Source organism: Homo sapiens, chromosome 6 (genome assembly GCF_000001405.40).
Source record: "Homo sapiens chromosome 6, GRCh38.p14 Primary Assembly".
Lineage (NCBI taxonomy): Eukaryota > Metazoa > Chordata > Mammalia > Primates > Hominidae > Homo > Homo sapiens.
This window is the reverse complement of record NC_000006.12, coordinates 86,992,774-87,017,326: the sequence shown is the minus strand read 5'-3', so window position 1 is coordinate 87,017,326 and position 24,553 is coordinate 86,992,774. Positions and strand designations below refer to the sequence as shown.

Genomic DNA, 24,553 nt, shown 5'->3' with positions numbered 1-24,553 from the left:
CACCTCATTAAGCTTCTTAAAAAGTTTCCCAAATTTGACATGTACTCCTACCTTTGTCCTGCTACAGTGAAAGTGTATATGGGTGGCTTAGCTGGGATAGATTTTAGAATTGGAGGAGGCCCAATGTGTCTGTCAGGTAATATTGCAACACACTGACCAAAGTAGATTTAGATGACTTGTTATTTGCTTTATGTTTTATATTCATAGTAAAAGACATAGAAAAGTGCCAGTGCATTTATTCCAGGTATTTCCATTTTAGAAAAAGAGGAAGTTTATTTAATCATGAACTAAAAAGGACAAGCCAGCTGTACTATTTTTACCTGAAATGAATAGGCTATGTAGTCACAGTGCTACAGCAAACGACTTTAGCTCAGGTCTGCAAGCAGTAGATGACAGCACATCACTTTCTTTTAATTCTTTATGTAGTCATGCAATTCCCACTGGAATATGTACGCAGATAGAGCCATAATCTCAGATTTAATGCCATGGAGGGCATTATCAGGTATTTAATTTATAAGTAATAAGAAATTCTGCAAATAAAGATATTTTTGGCATTCTTTAATTGCAGGGTAACTGAAATGGCTAAAAAAAAAAAACCCATAAAAGGTATTTAGTATTTCATCTTATTATTACTTCTACAAAATTTCTGTTTTTGTATGATAATGTTTATTTGAAATTATGTATCACAGATAAGACCAGAGGTAGAAAACAGCACGCCAAATAACAATCCTCAAACAAAACAGAACAAAACAAACAAACAAACAAGGAAACAAGACCACACATACTTACAAACTCTCCTGAACCAAGTATGTTCAAGAATTAATAAGTTGCACCCCTTACCCCCATCCACTCATGAGGCTCTGGAAAAAGTCGTGCCTTTTAGCTTTTTACAGTCTAAGTATGCTCTCGGCATCTAATGAGCTTTTTAAAAGCCAGCTTAAAGTCTTCATTAAAACTCGTATAGAGCAGAGGGTTGATCAGAGAATTCACATAACCGAGCCACGTCAGAAAGTCGGCCACTTCCGAGGACACGGTGTAGATGCTCAGACCCACAATCAACTCTTTGATGAAAAATGGCAGCCAGGATAAAATGAATGCACCCAGAATCAGCCCCAGGATGCGTGCTGCCTTCCGTTCCCTGGTGCTAGAGATCTGCTGACGTTCTCCTGGGTGATCTAGATCATTGTCGAAGGGGGGGATCCTGATGGAGGCATGGAACTTTTCAAACTCTGTGGTAGGGTCTGAGGTGGAGAAGTCAGACACACAGAAAGTCTGTGTAAGTTTACAACTTGCAAAAGAATTCTGGCTATCTGTGCTTCTGTTGCTTAAGTGCCGACTTGATCCCCTTTTCTGGTAAAGGCTCTTGGCCGCGTGGTAAATCCGGTAATAGAGAATCAGTATCAAAGTCAAGGGGATATAAAACGCACCCAGCGTGGAGTAAATGGTGTAGATAACATGGTCGTGCTGGATGGTGCACTGACTAGGGGGAGGGCTTAGGCGGCGGTGGCTTCTCCAGAACAGAGGGGGCATGGAGATGAAAATGGAGATGGTCCAGACGGTAAGGATCATCAGCGCGGCCCTCTTGGCCGTCCTCTTCCTGGCGTATTCAATAGCATTGGTGATGGCCCAGTACCTGTCCAGGGCAATGACACAGAGGTGGAGGATGGAGCAGGTGCAGCAGGTCATGTCCACACTCAGCCACACCTCACAGAGGAAGTACCCAAGCTTCCAGCGATCCATGACAATGTAGATGATGCTCAGGGGCATGACGAGCACTGCCACCAGGAGGTCCGTCACGGCCAGAGAACAGATTAGGTAGTTGGCAGGCTGGTGGAGCTTCTTGGTGGTGCCAATAGCCATGATCACAGCCAAGTTCAGCAACGTGGTGAGGGTGGTGATGACCACCAGAGTCATGCAAATGAGCATCTTCTCAGTGATGGTCTTGGGTCTTATAGCCATGCTGGCCTCTGTGGTACAGTTTGTGATGTTCATGTTTCCCTTGTTTCAGTCTACACTGTGGAGAAGCTGTTGGTTATTTTCCTTTGGCTGAAAACTATGTAGCCTCGAAGGTTTCTCACTTGTAAGGAGGCTATAATTTGTTCAGCTATGTGGTCTCTTGTGTTCCATTTTCTGTTGGTAAAGGGAAGGGCCACAGCATTTCTTCTGAGTGAAGGTTCCTGGAAAATATTATGCTATTGGTTAATGAATGAGAAAGCCACACTTTTCCTGGAAAACATGAAAATAGTTTGATATTTATAAATTCTTTATAAATTTTAATTTTCTCTTTCCTGTGGAACTTGAGCTCATCGTTACATTGTTCCTCAAAGGATACTTTTTTTACTTCAGGGAAGTTTTCAAACTGTTTTTTTTTAAATTATACTTTAAGTTCTGGGATACATGTGCAGAACTTGCAGGTTTGCTACATAGGTATACATGTGCCATGGTGGTTTGCTGCACCCAACAACCAATCATCTACATTAGGTACTTCTCCTAATGCCATCCCTCCCCTAGCCCTCCACCCCCCAACAGGCCCTGGTGTGTCATGTTCCCGGCCCTGTGCCCATGTGTTCTCATTGTTCAACTCCCACTCGTGAGTGAGAGCATGTGGTGTTTGGTTTTCTGTTCCTGTGTTAGTTTGTTGAGAATATGGTTTCCAACTCATCCATGTCCCTGCAAAGGACATGAACTCATCCTTTTTTATGGCTGCATAGTATTCCATGATGTATATGTGCCACATTTTCTTTATCCAGTCTATCACTGATGGGCATTTGGGTTGGTTCCAAGTCTTTGCTATTGTGAATAGTGCTGCAATAAACATACATGTCCATGTGTCTTTAGAGTAGAATAATTTAAAATCCTTTGGGTATATACCCAGTAATAGGATTGCTGAGTCAAATGTTATTTCTGGTTCTGGAACCTTGAGGAATCGCCATACTGTCTTCCACAATGGTTGATCTAATTTACACTCCCACCAACAGTGTAAAAGCATTCCTATTTCTTCACATCCTTTCCAGCATCTGTTGCTTCCTGCCTTATTATTATTATTATTATTATTATTATTATTATTATTATACTTTAAGTTCTAGGGTACAGGTGCACAACATGCAGGTTTGTTACATATGTATACATGTGCCGTGTTGGTTTGCTGCATCCTTTAACTCGTCATTTACATTAGGTATTTCTCCTAATGCTATCACTCCCCCGTCCCCCGACCCCACGACAGGCCCGGGTGTGTGGTGTTCCCTGCCCTGTGTCCAGGTGTTCTCATTGTTCAATTCCCACCTATGAGTGAGAACATGTGGTGTCTGGTTTTCTGTCCTTGCGATAGTTTGCTCAGAATGATGGCTTTTTAATGATCACCATTCTAACTGGCGTGAAATGGTATCTCATTGTGGTTTTGATTTGCATTTCTCTAATGACAGTGATGATGAGCTTTTTTTCATATGTTTGTTGGTTGCATAAATGTTTTCTTTTGAGAAGTGGCTGTTCATATCCTTCGCCCACTTTTTGATGGGGTTGTTTGTTTTTTTCCTATAAATTTGTTCAAATCGTTTTTGACAAAAACATCACAAAATTTTAAATGTACTTTGCCACCCCAATTAATTTCTTATTTATATTTATTCTTTTATACATGTTTATATATAAAAAGGCTTTTTTTTACATTTGAAAATATATATTCATATTATGTAACATTAAACATTCTGGGGCCGTTAAAGAAAAAATTATATTGCTTATAATAAGCAGCTTTCAAATCAGATTTTAAACTTTCACAGTAAATATGCTGGCGTGGTGGCTCACACCTGTAATCCCAGCACTTTGGAAAGTTAACTGCAATAATCAGAGCTAAAAATGGATACATCCTATGAGGAGTTGATGGAGGACCTTTTTGGGGATTTGTAACTTTAAATTTCCACTTTATTGTGACATAAAAAATATCATGAGTCCAAGGCCATATTTAAATTGTTTTTCATAAAAATTACAAATAGGAGAGAATTACTCTAAACCAAACTGGTTAGTGTACGCTGCTCCTCATTTCCAGGGATACTCTAGAGCCTCTGCTTTATACCATCCCAGTGAAGGTCAGAGCACCAGGGAGATGAGGTTATAGGGATGATAGATGTTAAGGCCGACTTTGGCATATTATTCTTCTGGGGCTTTGTCCTTTGCAGCAGATGAAGAGGGACAAGAATCTCTTTCTCATCCAGGAAGAGTTTCCAAAGCACCTAAGCATTATCAAGAAGGAGGAGTCAGCTGGCACCTGCTCATCTTAAAAATTATCTTAAAGAGGGTTTTATATTTTGGATCTGGTTCCTCCATTAGAAAACTGACATTTCACTTCATAAGTCCTGATTTACTTTAACCTAAAAAGTGTGCCTGAGTCAGCGGTTTTGGAGAGAAAGCTTGGAGTGGTGACTACCCACATGGACTCTGAATGCTGACCCTGCCACTTGTCAGCTGCAGTGTAATCCTAAGCATGTTCTTTAACGTTAGCCTGCTTCAATTTCCTCCTCTTTAAATCAGGAATAATGACATCTTTCTCTAAAGTAAGTAGTGTGAAGATCAAATGTGTTAATACACGTAGAAGCTGAGAACAACGCCTAATACATAGTAAGTACTATGTAAGTGTTTGCGGTCATTTGTTATACTAATTTTCCCAGTGATTTTTGCATTGGGTAATGGAGACAGATTTCATCCCACAAACTCTGATGTGTAATAAAAGCCTATTAAAAATAAGTCAACTTAATTTTGTTCTTTCTTTTTTTTCTTTCCAACTTTTATTTTAGGTTTTGAGGGTACAAGTGCAGATTTGTTTCATGGGTAAACTGTGTGTTGCAGGGTTTGGTGTACAGCTTATTTCACCACCTAGGTAATAAGCATAGTACCCAAAAGGTAGTTTTTCAAATCTCACCCTCCACTCACCCTCTACCCTCATGTAGGCTCTGGTATCTATTGCTCCCTTCTTTGTGTTCATGTGTTATTCAATATTTAGCTCCCGGTTATAAGTGAGAACATGTGTCAACCTAATTGCTGCTTCTAAGCTTCTCACTTCTCATGCTTGAGACTTTCTCTAACCCCAACCACACCCCCAAGTCTCTGGAGGATTATTTAGGGCCAAGGCATTGAGGTTTGGTTGGGGAGAGGGGTTTCAGATGTTGCATGCACAGAGAAAGTCCCTGGTAAGATATTTACTGTCCCCCACTCCTACAGTTCTTTCAGATCCCCAGACTGCTTCCGTAACACGCTTAGGAAATGTCCTAAGGTTGGGAACCCCATGCCTAGCCCCTAAGTCCCTAGCCACACCATGCATGTATCCCTTTTTAAAATATTATAGACTCTTCAAGGCACTTCCAGAACTTCTGGCCCAAGTCTTAGACCCCCAGGATCTTTTCTGTTCCTCCATTTTGCGCGGGAAAGGTATGTAGACCATTGGAGAAATTCCTTTCTTCCTTCATTTTTTTTTCTAACCCTTTCAGCCACCTATTAAAAGCTCTCTTTTCCTTTTTTACTTATTTACAAATCTTTTATTAATAAATCTCCTATGGGCTTGGCTTTTGAGAACATAAATAGGGATTACTGTCTGATACTTCCGCTTTCTGAAATATCTGTGAGGTAAGGAAGCATAAACCAGGCCACATGCTTGACTGAAGGAAAGGGAAAAAATAGAAAATAGCATCCAGCCATACATGTAACATTTCTTGTTGACATATTCCCCTTTCCTAGCATTCTTAGAGTTATCTGAAATATGGGACAAATATCCTTACCACAAAGTTTTGCTAAGACTTTGAATTACCAGAAAATATTATATAACGTCTCAACCATTAAAAGTTTAACATGCTGGTGGACCTGGAGCATTCCTGATCAACTCATTTACGTTGCATGTAACCACCATCATTTAGAGAATATTTTCCTGAACTGCTTTGAAGGAACCCAGGGTATACTTGCCTTTCTCTATTTACTTCCCAGCATTTTCCCAGTCAACCTGTGTTAAGTACTGACTTCTGTCCATTCCTAGACACTTCCAGATACCACTTCCCTTTGATAAGTCATTCCCTCCTGCTGCAAGGTTTCTGTTTTGCACATGGCCTCTAAACTGATCCAGGAAAACTGCCCTCAACTCTGTCAGCTTAGCCACCCTCTCTCCTAGCAGCATTTCCTGGCTCCACATGATGTTCTGGGCTGCAATTGCTTTACCTCTTGCCTACCAAAAATTCAGAGGTCACATAGTAGCTATTGCAAATGGAGTTGAAGCTGTCTAAAGTCAATGTATTAAAAGTTTAAGCATCTTAGACCAATAACTACTTTAAAGAAACCACAGAGAATCAAGAAACATGTTAAACTACCTTTTGATTATGCAATCATTGGAATCCAAACTGTAAAAAAATTCACGGGTTAAATCACCCAGTTTCTTAAATAAATTGCAGACAAGGAGGGCGATAAGAAGTGTGGCGTATAGGCCGGCGAGCGCCGCCCGGGAGGCAGCGGCTGGAGGAGCGGACGGGCCCCGCGGGGCCCGAGGGCAAGGAGCAGCCGCCTGCCTTGGCCTCCCAAAGTGCCGAGATTGCAGCCTCTGCCCGGCCGCCACCCCGTCTGGGAAGTGAGGAGTGTCTCTGCCTGGCCGCCCATCGTCTGGGATGTGAGGAGCCCCTCTGCCTGGCTGCCCAGTCTGGAAAGTGAGGAGCGTCTCCGCCCGGCCGCCATCCCATCTAGGAAGTGAGGAGCGCCTCTTCCCAGCCGCCATCACATCTAGGAAGTGAGGAGCGTCTCTGCCCGGCCGCCCATCGTCTGAGATGTGGGGAGCGCCTCTGCCCCGCCGCCCCATCTGGGATGTGAGGAGCGCCTCTGCCCGGCCGAGACCCCGTCTGGGAGGTGAGGAGCGTCTCTGCCCGGTCGCCCCTACTGGGAAGTGAGGAGCCCCTCAGCCCGGCCAGCCACCCCGTCCGGGAGGGAGATGGGGGGGTCAGCCCCCCGCCCGGCCAGCCGCCCCGTCCGGGAGGGAGGTGGGGGGGGTCAGCCCCCCCGCCCGGCCAGCCGCCCCGTCCGGGAGGTGAGGGGCACCTCTGCCCGGCCGCCCCTACTGAGAAGTGAGGAGCCCCTCAGCCCGGCCAGCCACCCCATCCGGGAGGGAGGTGGGGGGGTCGGCCCCCCGCCCGGCCAGCCGCCCCGTCCGGGAGGTGAGGGGCGCCTCTGCCCGGCCGCCCCTACTGGGAAGTGAGGAGCCCCTCAGCCCGGCCAGCCACCCCGTCCGGGAGGGAGGTGGGGGGGTCAGCCCCCCGCCTGGCCAGCCACCCCGTCCGGGAGGGAGGTGGGGGGGTCAGCCCTCCGCCCGGCCAGCCACCCCGTCTGGGAGGTGAGGGGCGCCTCTGCCCGGCCGCCCCTACTGGGAAGTGAGGAGCCCCTCTGCCCGGCCAGCCGCCCCGTCCGGGAGGGAGGTGGGGAGGTCGGCCCCCCGCCCGGCCAGCCGCCCCGTCCGGGAGGGAGGTGGGGGGGGGTCAGTCCCCCCGCCCGGCCAGCCGCCCCGTCCGGGAGGGAGGTGGGGGAGGTCAGCCCCCCTGCCCGGCCAGCCGCCCCTACTGGGAAGTGAGGAGCCCCTCTGCCCGGCCAGCCGCCCTGTCCGGGAGGGAGGTTGGGGGGTCGGCCCCCCGCCCGGCCAGCCGCCCCGTCCGGGAGGTGAGGGGCGCCTCTGCCCGGCCGCCCCTACTGGGAAGTGAGGAGCCCCTCTGCCCGGCCACCACCCCGTCTGGGAGGTGTGCCCAACAGCTCATTGAGAACGGGCCAGGATGACAATGGCGGCTTTGTGGAATAGAAAGGCGGGAAAGGTGGGGAAAAGATTGAGAAATCGGATGGTTGCCGTGTCTGTGTGGAGAGAAGTAGACATGGGAGACTTTTCATTTTGTTCTGCACTAAGAAAAATTCCTCTGCCGTGGGATCCTGTTGATCTGTGACCTTGCCCCCAACCCTGTGCTCTCTGAAACATGTGCTGTGTCCACTCAGGGTTAAACGGATTAAGGGCGGTGCAAGATGTGCTTTGTTAAACAGATGCTTGAAGGCAGCATGCTCGTTAAGAGTCATCACCAATCCCTAATCTCAAGTAATCAGGGACACAAACACTGCGGAAGGCCGCAGGGTCCTCTGCCTAGGAAAACCAGAGACCTTTGTTCACTTGTTTATCTGCTGACCTTCCCTCCACTATTGTCCCATGACCCTGCCAAATCCCCCTCTGTGAGAAACACCCAAGAATTATCAATAAAAAAATAAATTAAAAAAAAAAAATAAAAAGAAGTGTGGCGTATAGACTAAAAGGGACTCAAAAGACACATAAAAATAAAAACAAGCAAACCAAAACTATCATTATCAGGGGTATATATTTGAGTGATGTAACTTTCAAGGAAGCTTAAACATAAGGAGAGTGGTTATTTTTAGAGGAGGAGACACGATTGTGATTGAGACACAGCTTCTGTGTTTTGTCAAGTTATACTTCTTGATCTGGGTAGTGGTTTGCAGGGGTGATCATCTTATAATATTTTAATAAACTATACATTTATTTTAATTTAAGAGGTTTAAAAAGGTGCTTTTAAATGTAAATAATAATTCAGCCTGGAATTCTGTTTCATGTGTTAATCAGCAAGCTGCATTTTATACTCTAAAATTAGTGCCTGTGAACCTAATTATGAAGGACCTCTTGTCTCTAGGAAGAGCCAACACTCACCTTTCCCCACAGAGAATGGCTGCTTTTGGACATTGATGTACATGGCATGCTCAGTTCATTTTTAATTTCACCAATTTAGCTAATCTATTGGTTTTCAATAATTGTTAATTCACCATAAATATTCTTTCGTCTCTTCTTTGATTGTTCTCATTTTGCCCAAATTACTTCCAATTATTTAAAGAAGTCTTCAATATGTACCATGTACCAATTTCTTCTTTTTTTTATTATTTCAGGAATGTCAACTTGCCCTCATATTAGTAATTTTATCTTTCTGTTTGTTAAATTTACTTTCTCAGTCTTTGAAAATACTTTTCTTTGCCTCTCCAGGGAAAAGGAAGGGTGGATACTCTGTTTCCCAATTAGATCTTCAGTAGAAGCAGTGGGAGGATGTAGAGGAGATACTGCAGCGTGGGATTCTTTATTCTCTTTTTCTTTTTTTATTTATTTAAATTGTGATTGGAATATGACATGTGATTATTACAAGGTTATTATATTCATAATAACAAGAAAACATTACCATTTTATAATCTCAAAACAGTGCATAGAGTTTTAGGAGATGTTTATATACTCTGGATACAAGTCTTTTGTTGTCACAATGTTTTGTGAACATTTCTTCCATTCTGTGGTTTGCCTTTGTATTTTTTAATGTTGCTTTTTGACAAGTAGAAGAGTTTAATTTTTTTTTTGAGACAGAATCTCACTCTTTCACACAGGCTGGAGTGTAGTGGCATGATCTTGGCTCACTGCAACCTCCGCCTTCCAGTGTCAAGCGATCCTTCTGCCTCAGCCTTTTGAGCAGCTGGGACCACAGACATGTGCCACCCCTTTGGCTAATTTTTGTATTTATTATAGAGACAGGGTTTCACCGTGTTGCCCAGGCTGGTTTTGAACTCTTGAGCTCAAGTGATCCACCACCTCGGCCTCCCACAGTGCTGGGATAACAAGTGTGAGCCACCATGCCCAGCCAGAAGAGTTTAATTTTTAAAAATTTTAAATTTTTTGTGGGTACATAGTAGATGCATATATTTAGGGGGTATATGAGATATTTTGATACAGGCATACAACAAGTAATCATCACATCAAGGTAATGGAGTATTTAATACCTCAGCATTTATTCTTTCTTTGTGTTACAAAAAGTCCAATTGTACTCTGTTATTTTAAAATTTAGAATAAATTATTGTTGACTATAGTCACCCTGTTGTGATATCAAATGCAATATCTTATTTTTTCTATCTAACTATACTTTTGTACCCATTAACCATCCCCATTCTCTCCACCCCCTGCAACTACCCTTCCCAGCCTCTGGTAGCCATCATTCTACTCTCTACCTCCATGAATTCATTGTTTTAAATTTTAGCTCCTACAAATAAGTGAGACTGTGTGAAGTTTGTCTTCCTGTGCCTGGCTTATTTCACTTAACATAATGATCTCCAGTTCCATTCATGTTGTTGAAAATGACAGGATCTCATTCTTTTTTATGGTTGAACAGTACTTGATTGTACATATGCACTACATTTTCTTTTAATTTTTATTTTTATTTTAAGTTCCAGGGTACATGTGCAGGATGTGCAGGTTTGTTACATAGGTAAACGTGTGCCATGGTGATTTGCTGCACCTATCAAGCCATCACCTAGTTATTAAGCTCCGCAAGCATTAGCTATTTTTTTCTAATGCTCTTCCTGCCTCCTTCCACTCCCCCCGCAGGCCCCAGTGTGTGTTGTTACTCTCCCTGTGTCCATGTGTTCTATTGTTCAGCTACCACTTATAAGTGAGAGCATGTGGTGTTTGGTTTTCTGTTCCTGGGTTCATTTGCTGAGGATAATGGCTTCCAGCTCCATCCATGTCCCTGCAAAGGACATGATCTCATTCCTTTTTTATGGCTGCATAGTATTCCATGGTTATATGTACCACGTTTTCTTTACCAGTGTATCATTGATGGGGATTTGGGTTGATTTCATGTTTTTGCTGTTGTGAATAGTGCTGCAGTGAACATACACATGCATGTATCTTTATAATAGGATAATTTAGATTGCTTTGGGTATATACCCAGTAATGGGATTGCTGGGTCAAATGGTATTTCTGCTTCTCGATCTTTGAGGAATTGCCACACCATATTCCACAATGTTAAAGTAATTTACATTCCCACTAACAGTGTAAAAGCATTCCTATTTCTCCACATCCTCGCCAGCATCTGTTGTTTCTTGACTTTTTAATAATCACTGTTCTGACTGGTGTGAGATGGTATCTCTTTGCTACCACATTTTCCTTATCAATTCATTTGTTGATGAACACTTAGGTTGCTTCCAAATCTTAGCTATAATTGTGCTGCAATAAACATGGGAGTGCAGATGTCTCTTCAATATATTGATTTTCTTTCCTTTGAGTATATACTTAGCAGAGGGATTGCTGAATCATATAATAGTTCTATTTTCAGTTTTCTGAGGAACCTCCAAACTGTTCTCCATAGTGGTTGTACTAACTTACATTCCCACCAACAGTGTACAAGGATTCCATTTTCTCCAATTCTTCACCAGCATTTGTTATTGCCTATCTTTTGGATAAATGCCATTTTAACTTGGGTAAGATGATATCTCATTGTAGTTTTGATTTGCACTTATCTGATGATCAGTGATATTGAAGACCTTTTCATATACCATTTTTATGTCTTCTTTTGAGAAATGTGTATTCAAATCTTTTGCCTGTTTTAAAATCAGATTATTAGATTTTTTTCCAATAGAGTTGTTTGAGCTCCTTATATATTCTGGTTATTATTCTATTGTCAGATGAGTAGTTTGCAAATATTTTCACCCATTCTGTGGGTTATCTCTTCACTTTGTTGATTGTTTCCTTTGCTGTGAAGAAGCTTTTTAATGTGACAAGATCCAATTTGTTCACTTTTGGTTGCCTGTGCTTGTGGAGTATTTCTCAAGAAATCTTTGTCCAGACTAATGTCTTGGAGAGTTTCCCCAATGTTTTCTTGTTGTAGTTTCATAGTTTGAGGTCTTAGATTTAAGTCTTTAATCCACTTTCATTTGACTTTTGTATATGGTGATACATAGGGGTCTATTTCATTCTTCTGCATATGGAATGCTGCCAGTTCTCCCGGCAGCATTTATTGAAGATATTGTTCTTTCCTCATGTATGTTCTCAGCACTTTTGTCAAAAATAAGTTCATGGTAGACGTACGGATTTATTTCTGGGTTTTCTATTTTGTTTCATTGGTCTATGTGTCTGTTTTTATGCCAGCACCATGCTGTTTTGGTTACTATAGTTCTGTAATATAACTTGAAATCAAGTAATGTTATTCGTCCAGTTTTGTTCTTATTGCTCAGAATGGCTTTGACTACTCTAGGTCTTTTGTGGTTCCATGTAAATTTTAAGATTATTTTTTCCATTTCTGTGCACAATGTCATTGGTATTTTGATAGGGATTGCCTTATAGCCATAGATTGCTTTGTGTAGTATGGATATTTTAACAATATTTATTCTTCCAATCCATAAACATGGAATATCTTTTCACTTTTTTGTGTCCTCTTCAATGTCTTGCATCATGTTTTATAGTTTTCACTGTAGAGATCTTTTATTTCTTTGGTTAAGTTTATTCCTAGGTATTTTATTTTATTTGTAGCAATTGTTAATAGAATTACTTTCTTAATGTCTTTTTCTGATTGTTCACTGATGGCATATAGAAATGCTACTGATTTTTATTTGTTGATTTTGTATCCTTGACTTGATTGTATTTGTGTATCAGTTCTAATAGTTTTTTGGTGCAGTATTCAGGTTATTCCAAATATAAGATCATATTATCTATAAACAAGGATAATGTGACTTCTTTTCTGATTTGAGTGCCCTTTCTTTCTTTCTTTTGTCTGATTGCTCTAGCTAGGACTTCCAGCACTATGTTAAATAACATTGGTGAAAGTGGGTATCCTTGTTGGGTTCAAGATCTTAGAGGAAAGACTTTCAGTTTTTCCCCACTCATTATGATACTAGCTGTGGGTCTGTCATGTGGCTTTTATTGTGTTGAGGTATGTACTTCTATACCCATTTTTTTTAGGGTTATCAATCATGAAGGGATGTTGAATTTTATCAAGTGCTTTTCAGCATCAACTGAAGTGACCATATGGTTTTTGTCCTTTATTCTGTTGACATAATGTACCCTATTCATTGATTTGCATAATGTTGAGCCATTCTAGCATCCCAGGGATAAATCCCACTTAGTCATGATGAGTAATCTTTATTGTGTTCTTGAATGTGGCTTGCTAGTATTTTGCTGAGGACTTTTCCATCAATGTTCATTAGGGATATTGGTCTGTAGTCTTCTATTTTTGATATCTTTGTCTGGGGGGTAATACTGGCTTCACAGAATAAATGTGGAAGTATTTCCTCCTCCTCTATATTTTGGTATAGTTTAACTAGAATTGGTATTAGTTCTTCTTTAAATGTTTGGTAAAATCGAGCAGTGAAGTCATCACATCCTGGATTTTCCTTTGCTGGGAGAATTTTTATTACAGGTTTTATCTCATTACTTGTTATTAGTCTGATCAGGTTTTGGATTTATGCTTGGTTCAATCTTGGTAGGTTGTATGTGGTTAGGGATTTATCAATTTCTTCTAGGTTTTCCAGTTTATTGGCATATAATTGCACACAGTAGCCTCTAACGATCTTTTGAATTTCTCTGACATCAGTTGTAATGTCTCCTTTTTCATCTCTGATGTTATTTGGATCTTCTCTCCCTTTTCTTAGTTTGACTAATAGTTTGTCTATTTTGTTAATCTTTTTAAAAAACCAACTGTTTGTTTCTTTGTTTTTTTGTATTTTTTGTTTCAATTTCACTTATTTCTGCTCTGATCTTTATTATTTCCTTTTTTTCCTAATAATTTTGAGTTTGGTTTGCTTTTGCTTTTCTAGTTGTATAAGACATATTATTAGGTTGTTTATTTGAGGTTTTTCTACTTTTTTCTTGTAGGCACTTATTCCTGTAACCTTTTGCTGTATCCCACAGGTTTTGATATGTTGTGTTTCTATTTTCATTTGTTCAAGAAACTTTTCAATTTCTTTCTTTTTTCTTTTTTTTTTTTTGAGATGGAGTCTCTCTCTGTTGCCCAGGCTGGAGTGCAATGGCGCAGTCTCAGCTCACTGCAACCTCTGCATCCCAGGTTCAAGCAATTCTCCTGCCTTAGCCTCTCAAGTAGCTGGGGCTACAGGTGCATGCTACCATGGCCAGCTAATTTTTTTATTTTTAAGTAGAGATGGGGTTTTGCCATGTTGGCCAGTCTGGTCTTGAACTCCTGACCTCAGGTGATCCACCAGCCTTGGCCTCCCAAAGTGCTAGAATTACAGGCTTGAGCCACTGTGCCTGGCCTCAATTTCCTTCTTAGGCCCTTCATTGGCCCACTGGTCATTCAGAAACATGTTTAATTTCCATGTGTTTGTATGGTCTTTAGAATTCCTTTTGTTATTGATTTGTGGTTTTATTCCATTTTAGCCAGAGAAGATATTTGATATCATTTCAATTTTTTTGAATGTTTTAAGGCTTTTTTGTTGTCTAACATATGGTCTATCCTTGAGAATGATCCATGTGCTGAAGAGAAGAATACGTATTCTGCAGCCATTGGAGGAAATGTGCTGTAAATATCTATTAGGTCCATTTGGTCTATAGTGCAGATTAAATCTGATGTTTCTTTGTTGATTTTCTGTCTGGATGATCTGTCCAATGCTGAAAGTGGGGTGTTGAAGTCTCCAGCTATTACTGTATTGAGGTCTATCTCTCTCCTTAGCTGTAATAATATTTGTTTTATATATCTGTGTGCTCCTGAGAGGTGAAGCCAGCTGGGCTTCTGGGTCAGGTGGGTACTTGGAGAACTTTTCTGCCTAGCTAGAGGATTATAAACCCACCAATCAGCACTCTGTGTCTAGCTAAAGGATTGTAAACACACCAATCAGCACTCTGTAAAAATGCACCGATCAGCACTCTGTGTCTAGCTAAAGGATTGTAAACACACCAATTAGCACTATCAGCACTCTGTAAAAATGCACCAGTCAGCACTATGTGTCTAGCTAAAGGATTGTAAACACACCAATCAGCACCCTGTAAAATGGACCAATCAGCACTCTGTAAAATGTACCAGTCAGCAGGATGTGGGTGCGGACAAATAAGGGAATAAAAGCTGGCCACCCGAGCCAGCAGTGGCAACCTCCTCGGGTCCCCTTCCATACTGTGGACACTTTGTTCTTTTGCTCTTCACAATAAATCTTGCTGTTGCTCACTCTTTGGGTCCACACCACCATTAAGAGCTGTAACACTCGCCACCAAGTCCATGGCTTCGCTCCTGAAGTCAGCAAGACCACGAACCCACCAGAAGTAAGAAACTCCAGACACATCTGAACATCTGAAGTAACAAACTCCGGACACACCATCTTTAAGAACTGTAACACTCACTGTGAAGGTCCATGGCTTCATTCCTGAAGTCAGGGAGACCAAGAACCTACCGGAAGGAATAAATTCCGAACACACTCCAGTGTTGGGTGCATATATATTTACAATTGTTATATCCTCTTGCTGAATTGACCCCTTTAATCATTATATAATGACCTTCTTTGTCTCTTCTTATAGTTTCTGTTTTGAAATCTATTTTGTCTGATATAACTATAGTGACTCCTCATCTTTTTTGGTTTCCATTGGCATTGAATATCTTTTTCCATCCCTTTATTGTCAGTGTGTATGCATCCTTATAGATGAAGTTGAAACTGACCCAATAGTCTCATAGATAGTTCTTTTTTGATAGACATAAAAATTGATCCTTCTGGTCTTAAAGCTTGAAACTTGTATTTATTTTTGTCTGAGTTCCTTCCTCAGGAAATGACCTTCAGGCCTCTCACAAAAAGTATTAAAGAACTGAAACTCACCAGATCACTACATCCAGACAATAAGATGCCAGATGCTTCATTTGTCATGATTGCTTCCTTGCCCCTCTCTAATTCTTGCTTTCTTACACATTGTTACATTTCTTCCTTGCTATATAAACCCCTAGTTTCAGTCAGTCAGAGAGATGGATTTGAGACTGAGCTCTCATCTCCTTGGCTGCAGCACCCAATTAAAATCTTCTTCCTTGGCAATACTCATGGTCTCAGTGATTGACTTTCTCTGTGGCAAGCAGCAGGACCTAGACAGAAGCCCTGGTGTTTCAGTAACAAAGTGTGTTTCTTGTAGGCACCAGATTGTTGGGTCTTGTTTTTTAAATCCGTTCACCTACTCTATGTCTTTTGAGTAGAGAGTTTAGTCCATTTACATTTAGTGTTACTATCCGTAAGTAAGGACTTACTCTTGCCATTTTTTGATTTGTTTTGGGTTGCTTTCTGGTCTTCTTTTCCTTCCTTCTTTTCTTTCTGTCTTCCTTTTGGCAAACGTGATTTCCTCAGGTGGTATGTTTTAATTTTATGTGTTTTCTTTTTTGTGTCTTTGTTATATATTTTTTGATTTTTGGTTACCATGAGGCTGGCAAATAATCCCTTACAGCCCATTATTTTAAGCTGATGATAACTTAAAACAGACTAATTTCATAAATAATAAACTAATAAGCAAAGAGAAAACTAATAAAAATGCTACACGTTAGCTTTATCCCCCTACTTTTAAACTTTTTGTTGTTTCTATTCATAGCTTATTAACTGTCTGTTTTGCAAAGTTGTTGTAGTTATTATTTCTGATAGATTATCTCTTAATCTTTCTACTCAAGATATGAATAGTTTACACACCACAATTATAGGGTTATAATATTGTGTTTGTTTGTGTACTATTTCCAGTGCATTTTGTACATTCAGATGATTTATTATTGCTCATTAATGTCCCCCTTTCAGATTGAAGAACTTCCTTTGCATTTCTTGCAGGACAGGTCTGGTGTTGATGAAATCCCTCAGCTATTGTTTGTCTGAGAAAGTCTTTATTTCTCTTTCATGTTTGAAGGATATTTTTGCTAGATATACTATTTTAGGATAAAAGTTATTTTCTTTCAGCATTTTACATATGTCATGCCACTCTCTCCTGGCCTCTAAGGTTTCCACTGAAAAGTCTGCTGCTGGAGATATTGGAGCTCCATTGTTTGTTGTTTCTTTTCTCTTCCTGCTTTTAGAGTCCTTTCAAAAATCTTTATCCTTTGGGAGTTTGATTATTAAATGTTTTGAGGTGGTCTTATTTGGGTTAAACCTGCTTGGTGTTTAATCGTCTTCTTGTACTTGAATATTGATTTATTACTCTAGGTTTTGGAAGTTCTTTTTAAAAATAATTTTATATTACAATTGTTTTATCTTCTAGCTGAATTGACCCCTTTTTCAGCAGTCATTGATCTGGGAAAAAAGAGAGGTCAAGGTCCCATAACTGGCAAACTCAAGTTGGTTGGAGATGTGGAATTTTAAGGAGTCAGGAAAAAAGCCAGTTACATCATTCCTGTTACTGGGGGTGTTGGTCCCATGACAGAGGGAATGTTAATGGAAAATACCATTATTGCTGCAAAAAAGTACTGAGGCTTGATAAGTGGGAAGTGCTGAAGTCTAAAGAGCTTGAAATAGCCACACATTAGCTGTTATGTCTTCCGTGTCATGAGCAGCACCCCAGCCCATCTGAAGAAGCAAGTTAGGCCAGAAGAAATGATATATTTTAAAAATTTATTCTAGTGAAATGGTTTAAAATGGTGCTTTGTATTTATTGAAGGCTTAATGGGCAGGTGTTTGTGTAGATAGTAGCACCTCACCAGGGAGCACTCCAGTATCATGCAGGGTCATGTAATCTAGCCAAGCACAGCTATTAACCTAGTGATTAACATGGGAGATGCTCTCACACTGAGAATGGATGCTGAACTTTCTCAAGCTACCTCAGGTAAAAATTTGCCTTTTCTAGGATTGCATTTCCCAAGCGCTATTCCAATAAGAGTTGATACTCATTTTAGGTTCCAAATCTTTTGGGTTCAACTGATCAAACCAAAGAAAAACCATTGGTAGAGAAAATCAGGGAAAAGGTGAAAAGGAAAAGATGGTGGTAACTGAGTAGAAAAAAATTACTCTAATAGTTTTTCTAAGGTGCTTTTTGTGGCTTAGTCAGTCACATGGGAAAATGTTTAGGATTGTTCCTTGCTATTAGTCCTCATTTTATGTATGTTAGCCCTCAGTGAGGTCTCCCCATTTTAGTTATTTAGGATTAAAAGCCTTGTTTTATAAATTATTCATGTGTATTGTCATATTTGGCTTTTGCTATATACTTTAACCTCATTTTTAATTTTTTTGTATTGTTAGAGGATATCTGTATAGTTTATTTGGTATATCTTAAAACCTATTTTTGAAAAACAAAACAAAAAAACCCCAAAACTGGCCCGGCATGGTGGCTCATGCCTGTAATACCAGCACTTTGGGAGGCCGAGGTGGGCAGATCACTTGAAGCCAGGAATTGGAGACTAGACTGACTAACATGGCGAATCCCCGTTTCTACTTAAAAATAAAAAAAATTAGCCTGGCGTTGTTGCCTGTTCCTGTAATCCCAGCTACTCGGGAGGCTGAGGTATGAGAATCGTTTGAACCCAAGAGGCAGAGGTTGTAGTGAGCTGAGATCACGCTACTGCACTCCCGCCTGGGTGACAGGGCGAGACTCTGTTTGAAAATAAACAAATAAGTGAAAACAAAACAAAAAAACAACCCCCCCAAAACAATATTCCTTTCATATCCTTTTAGCCTATACTATCTATAGTAATATTCCTTCTTTCATTCTTAATCTTGGTAATTTCAGTTTTTTCCTCTTTTTTCTTGATCAGTCTAAGTAATAATTTTTCAATTTTATTGATCTTTTTAAAGAACCAGCTTTCGAATGACTTAATTTCTTCTATTATTACCTATTATTTTATTCCTTTCAGTCTTTATATTTATTATTTCCTTCCTTTTACTTACTTTGGTTTAATTCACCACCCTTTTCCTGGTCTCTTAATGTAAAAGCTAAGATAATTAGTTTAAAACATTTTGTCAGTAACAATATAAGCACCTAGAATTATCCATTTGCTCTAAGCGTTATTTTAGCTATATCCTACAAATTTCAGTATGTTGTATTTTCGTTGTTAGTAAGAAATGTTTTCTAATTTCATGATTCCTTATTTGACTTACACAATATTTAGGAGGGCATTTATTAACTTAAAATTTTTAGAGATTTTATAGATTCTTTCAAAACTTATTTTTAGTTCTATTGTACTCAGGCTCATAGAATATATTCTGCATGATTTTAATCTTTTGAAGTTTGCTGAGACTTATTTTATGGCTCAGCTTGTAGTCTATCTTGGTGATATTATGCTTATGTTTCAAAATAATGTGTATTCTGTGATTGTTCCACACAATGTTCTATAAGATAATTTGCTTGATAGTTTTGTTCAAATCTTATATACATCTATCAGTGTTTTGTCAGCTTGTTCTGTCAATTATTGAGGAAATTGTGTTAAAATCTCCAACTATAATTGTGGGTATGTCAATTTCTCCCTTTAGTTCTGTCAATTTTTGAGTCATGTATTTTGAAGTTCTGTCATTAGATATATACATACACATTTAAGATTTTTTTTGATGAATAGTTCTTATAACATTATGTAAATCTCCATTTATCCCTGATAATATTCTCTGTTCTGATGTTTAGTTTGTATAATATTAATATAGCCATTCCAACTTTCTTTTGATTAATGTTTGCATGACATGCCTTTTTTAATCCTTTTATTTCTAACCTATTTATATCTTTATATTAAGTAGGTTTCTTATAGATAGCCTGTAATTGAATCTCGCATTTTTATCCAGTCTGACATCCTCTGCTTGTTAATTGGGATGTTTACATTATTTACACTTAGTGTAATTATTGGTATGCTTTGGTTTAAGTCTACCATCTTTTAACTTATTTTCTATTTGTCCAAGCCTTTTTTGATTCATTTCATTAGCATTTTGTAATTTTTAGCATACAAGTCCTGCATATGTTATGTTAGATTTACACCTAAGTATTTTATTTTATTTTAGAATAATTGCAAATGGCATTGTGTTTGAAATTTCGGTTTTCACATATATATTTTTAGGATATAAAAATATCTTTTATTTTGGGTATTGATCTTGTATTATGCTACCTTGCTGAACTAACTTATTAGATATGAGTTTTTTTGTAGATTATTTGAAATTTTCTTCATAAATGATTATGTCATTTGAAATATGAACATTTTTATTTCTTCTTTCTCATATGTATGTCTTCTCTTTTTTATTCTCGTCTTATTTTAGCGGTTAGATCTACCAGTACTATGTTGAATATTAGTAGTAAGAGCAGACATTTTTATCTTATTCCCTATCTTAGAGAGAAAGCATTTAGTTATTCTCTATTAAGAATCATGTTAACTTTAGGTTTCATGTCAATGTTCTTTATCAAGTTAAGGAAGTATTCCTCTACTACTACTTTTATGTGAATCTTTTTTATAATGAATGAATGTTAAAATTTGTCAAATAATTTTTCTGTGTTGATTGATATCATCATGTGATTTTTCTTCTATAGCTTGTTAATCTGGTGGATTATACAGCCTTGCATTTCTAGAATAAATCTCGCTTGTTTGTGCTGTATAATTCTTTTTATATATTGCTGAATTCTTTTGATAATATTTTGTTAAGGACTTGAATGTCTATATTCATGGAAGATATTGATCTCTAACTTTTTTTTTACTGCCTTTGCTTGGTATACCGGCTTCATAAAATGAGTTGGAAAGTGTTCCTTTTCTATTTTCTGCAAGAGATTGTGTAACTGGTGTTAATTCTTTAATCTTTTGATAGAATTCTCTAGAGAAACAATCTAGGCCTGGAGATTACTTTTTCAGGAGTTTTAAGATTATTAATACAATTTTCTTAGTAGTTATAGGCCTATTTAAACTGTTTGGGTGAATTGTAATAGTTCACGCTTTTTGAGGTATTGATCAATTTCATTTAAGTTGTTATATTTACATGTACAGAATTGTCCTTAGTATTCTCTTATCTCTTTCATATTTGCAGGCCTGTAATGATATTCCCTGATTCATTACTGATACCAATAATTTGATAACATTTTACTGATATTACTGATATCAATAATTTGATAACAAAATAACAATCTTTTATTTTTCTATGTCAGTTATAAGGTTTGTCAATTTTATTGATCTTTTAAAGAAAAACAACCTTTCATTGATTTTCTCTATAAAAATTTAAAGTATTTAAAGATTTCTCCTGAGTTGCTTCTTTGGCATATTAATTATTTAGAAGTGTGTTGTTTAGTTTCTGTTTAGAGATTTTCCTGTTATACTTCTGTTGTTGATTTCTAGTTGGGTTCCATTGTGGTCAGAGGACATACTTTGTGTTAATTTAGTTCTTTTGAGTTTTCTGAGGTCTATTTTATGGTCCAAGATAAGGTTTATCATGGGGCCTTGAAAAGAATGATTATTCTGCTGTTGTTTGAAGTGTTTTATAAATATTGATTAGATCTTGTTGGTTGATGGTATTTTTGGTTTCCTTTATACTCCTTTTGATTTTCTGTCATTTTGTTCTGTCAGTTTTTGAGTGGGGTATGGAAGTCTCCAGTTCTAGTTGTGGATTTGCCAGTTTCTCTTTGCAGTTCTGTTAAATTTTGCTTCACGTATTTTGCAGGTGCTATTTTGTTTATGAACATTTAGAATTGCTATGTCTTCTTGGTGGAGTGAGCTTTTTATCATTATGTAATGTCATTCTCTTTCTGTGGTAATTTTCTTTACTCTGAAGTCCATTTTATCTGATATTAATATAGACACTCCTACTGCCTTTGATTAATCTTTTCATGGCATATCTTTTTCTACTCTTTTACTTTCAACCTACCTAGTTACATTTAGAGTTTTTTGCAGACAGCATATAGTTGGGTCATGTTTTCTTTTTTTTTTTTTTTTCTTTTTTTTTTTTTTTTTTTTTTGAGATGGAGTCTCACTCTGTCACCCAGGCTGGAGTGCAGTGGTGTGATCTTGGCTCACTGCAACCTCCGCCTCCCAGGTTCAAGCGTTTCTTCTGCCTCAGCCTTCCGAGTAGCTGGGATTACAGGTGCCTGTCACCACGCCTGGCTAATTTTTGTATTTTTAGTAAAGATGGGGTTTCACCATATTGGCCAGGCTGGTCTTGAACTCCTGACCTCAGGTGATCCGCCCACCTCGACCTCCCAAAGTGCTGGGATTACAGGCTTGAGCCACTGTGTCTGGCCGGGTCATGTTCTCTTAATCCACTCTTCCAATCTTTGTCTTTCATTCGTATGTAGACCTTTATTTATTTATTTATTTATTTATTTATTTATTATATTATAGAGATGAGGTCTTGCTATGTTGCCCAGACTGGTCTCAAAGTCTTGAGCTCAAGTGATCCTCCTGCCTCGGCCTCCCAAAGTGCTGGGATTATAGGTGTGAGCCACGGCTCCGGGTCGGTATGTAGACCTTTTAAAATTCAATGTAATTATTGATATGTTAATCCTTAAGTATGCCATTTTATTTTTTGGTTTTCATTTGTTTTCACTGTTTATGTTTTTCTGTTTATTTCTCTCAGCTCCTGTGGGTTACTTGGGGACATTTTAAAGGGAATTCATCATAATTTACTTTTAGTGTTTTTGGATTTACCTCTTTGTAGAGCTCTTTTAGTAGTTGCTCTAGATATTATATGATATATACACAACTTATCCCATCTGTTGGTGTTACCAGTTTCCAGTTCAAGTGCAGTATAGAAACCTTACTTCCTTTATATAATTTTACCCTCTTTCCATTTATAATAAAATTATCTTAAATATTTCCTCTACATCCACTGAGAACCACATCAGACTGTTACAATTTTGCTTTAACTATCAAACATAATTTAGAAAACAAGAGGAAAATGAAAGCATATTTCATTGATTCATATTTTCACTCTTTCTGTTTTTTTCCTTTTTTCCTGATGGTCTAAGATTTCTCCTTATCATTTCTGTCTAGAGAACTTTCTTTAGCTATTCTTTTAGTGTAGATCTTCAGGCAAATTCCCTTAGTTTCCCTTCACCTAAGACTGTATTGAATCCTTCATTAGTGAAGGATATTTTCTTTGCATGTAGAATTCTGGGTTGACAGTTCTTTTCTGTGAGCACTTGAAAAATGTTGTGCCAGGATTTTCTGGTCTCCATGGTTTCTGCTGAAAAACCTTGTCATTCAATTTTTTTTTCTCCTGATAGGTATGGTGTCATTTCTCTTTCACAGCTGCAAGATTTTTTGTTTGTCTTTAATTTTCAGAAATTTAACTGCGATATGTCTGGTGTGATTTTTTTGACTTATTATATTTGTGGTTTGCTCAACTCTTTGAATCTTTTTCTCTATCTTTTGCCAAAATGGGACATTTTTAGCCATTATTTTAAAAAATACTTTTTCAGCCCCGTCTTCTTTCTCCCTTATGAGACTCCACTGACATGGATGTTAGATCTTCTGTTACATCTCACAAGTCCCCAATACTCTGTTGATTTTCTTCTGTTTATTTTATTTCTGTCATTAGATTAGGTAATTTCCATTTTTCTATCTTTAAGTTCACCGATCTTTTCCTCTGTTTTCCATGCTGCTCTTGAGTCCATAAACTGAGCTCTTTAATTTCAGTTATTGTATTTTTTTCCATTGTAAAATGTCAACTTGGTTCTTCTTTATGTCTTCTATTTCTTTGACAAGATTTTCTGTTATTTTATTTGTTTCAAGTGTGCTCATAATTCTTCACTGAGATGTTTTTGCTATGGGCTTCAAAAATCCTTTTCGTCTGCAGATTTTTTTTTTCTCATTTAAGTTAAATTTTCCTGGTCTTTGATATGATGACTGACTTTTTATTACAACCTGGACATTTTGGGTATTATATTATGAGACTCTGGATCTTCTTTGAATCTTCTGTTGTAGCAGTCTTCCTCTGACGTTGCTCCAGGGAGAGAAGAGGAGTGCTGGATGATTGCTGCCATGCAGTGGTAGAAGGAAAGCAAATTTGGCCTTTTCTGGCAGGGGAGGAGATAGAGTCACTTTTTTTTTTTTTTTGGGTAGTGCTTGGTAGAAATATAGTGGCTACAGTTAGTAAAATTTAGAACATATTCTGCTTCTCAGACTCCTACACGAATAATAGTTCACTTGCTCTGTGAAGAGCAAACATCGTTTTTCCTCTCATTCTGCAGCCTGTTGTCACCACTCCACACCTGGCTGCTGAAGGCATTTAGTTTTCCCAAGGTTTCTTTAACTGTCCTCCTTGGATTTCACAATGCATTGGTTATAAAACCCCACCATTCTCCAGGCAGGAGCTTGCAATGAGATACATTTATACCATCTTTTTTTTTTTAAATAAACTTTTTATTTTGGTAAAATTTTATATTTATAGAAAAGTGTAAAGATAGTACAGAGAGTTCTTATATACTGTCACCCAGTTTTACCCATTGTCTGAAAGTTTTCTTCTTGCTTGGCTGTTCCTTTTCTGGTTCTTCTTTTGGAGAATGAACTTTGAGCATAAGTGGTATGTGCTACTTCCAGGTCTTGCACAAAAAAACCTTTAATGTGCTCTTAATCTCCATCTAGCTATTGGATGGAGAGGTCTCTGGGGACCTAGGGGAGGGCAGAGACATGGGATGAAAGTATTTTGGGTCCCTGAATGGACGAGTGGGATAGAATATTCTTAGCCACACCCACCACTGACTTGCATTGAATGGTGATATGAGTGAGAAACATTTCAATATTTTATTGTGTTAAGCCACTGATATTTTGGAACTAATATTACTTAAGTAACACATCAATTCTCCTTGGGTAAGTTACTTAATCTTTGGAAGCTTGGTTTTACAATTTGA

General features: G+C 38.7%; 1 protein-coding gene and 1 pseudogene across 2 annotated transcripts in view; one reads left to right on the top strand and one right to left on the bottom strand.

The window, feature by feature from the left end:
• Window positions 1-647: 647 nt before the first annotated feature.
• The window catches only part of HTR1E (5-hydroxytryptamine receptor 1E), a 79,152-nt gene continuing 55,246 nt past the window's right edge, over window positions 648-24,553 (bottom strand). For both annotated transcript variants that reach the window (XM_011535789.3, NM_000865.3), the window contains exon 2: window positions 648-2,177. In XM_011535789.3, coding sequence (XP_011534091.1) covers window positions 895-1,992 — 1,098 coding nt within the window. In that variant the 5' untranslated portion in view covers window positions 1,993-2,177 and the 3' untranslated portion in view covers window positions 648-894. The remainder of the gene's footprint in view (window positions 2,178-24,553) is intronic.
• On the top strand, window positions 17,036-17,282 carry MTHFD2P2 (methylenetetrahydrofolate dehydrogenase (NADP+ dependent) 2, methenyltetrahydrofolate cyclohydrolase pseudogene 2; annotated as a pseudogene).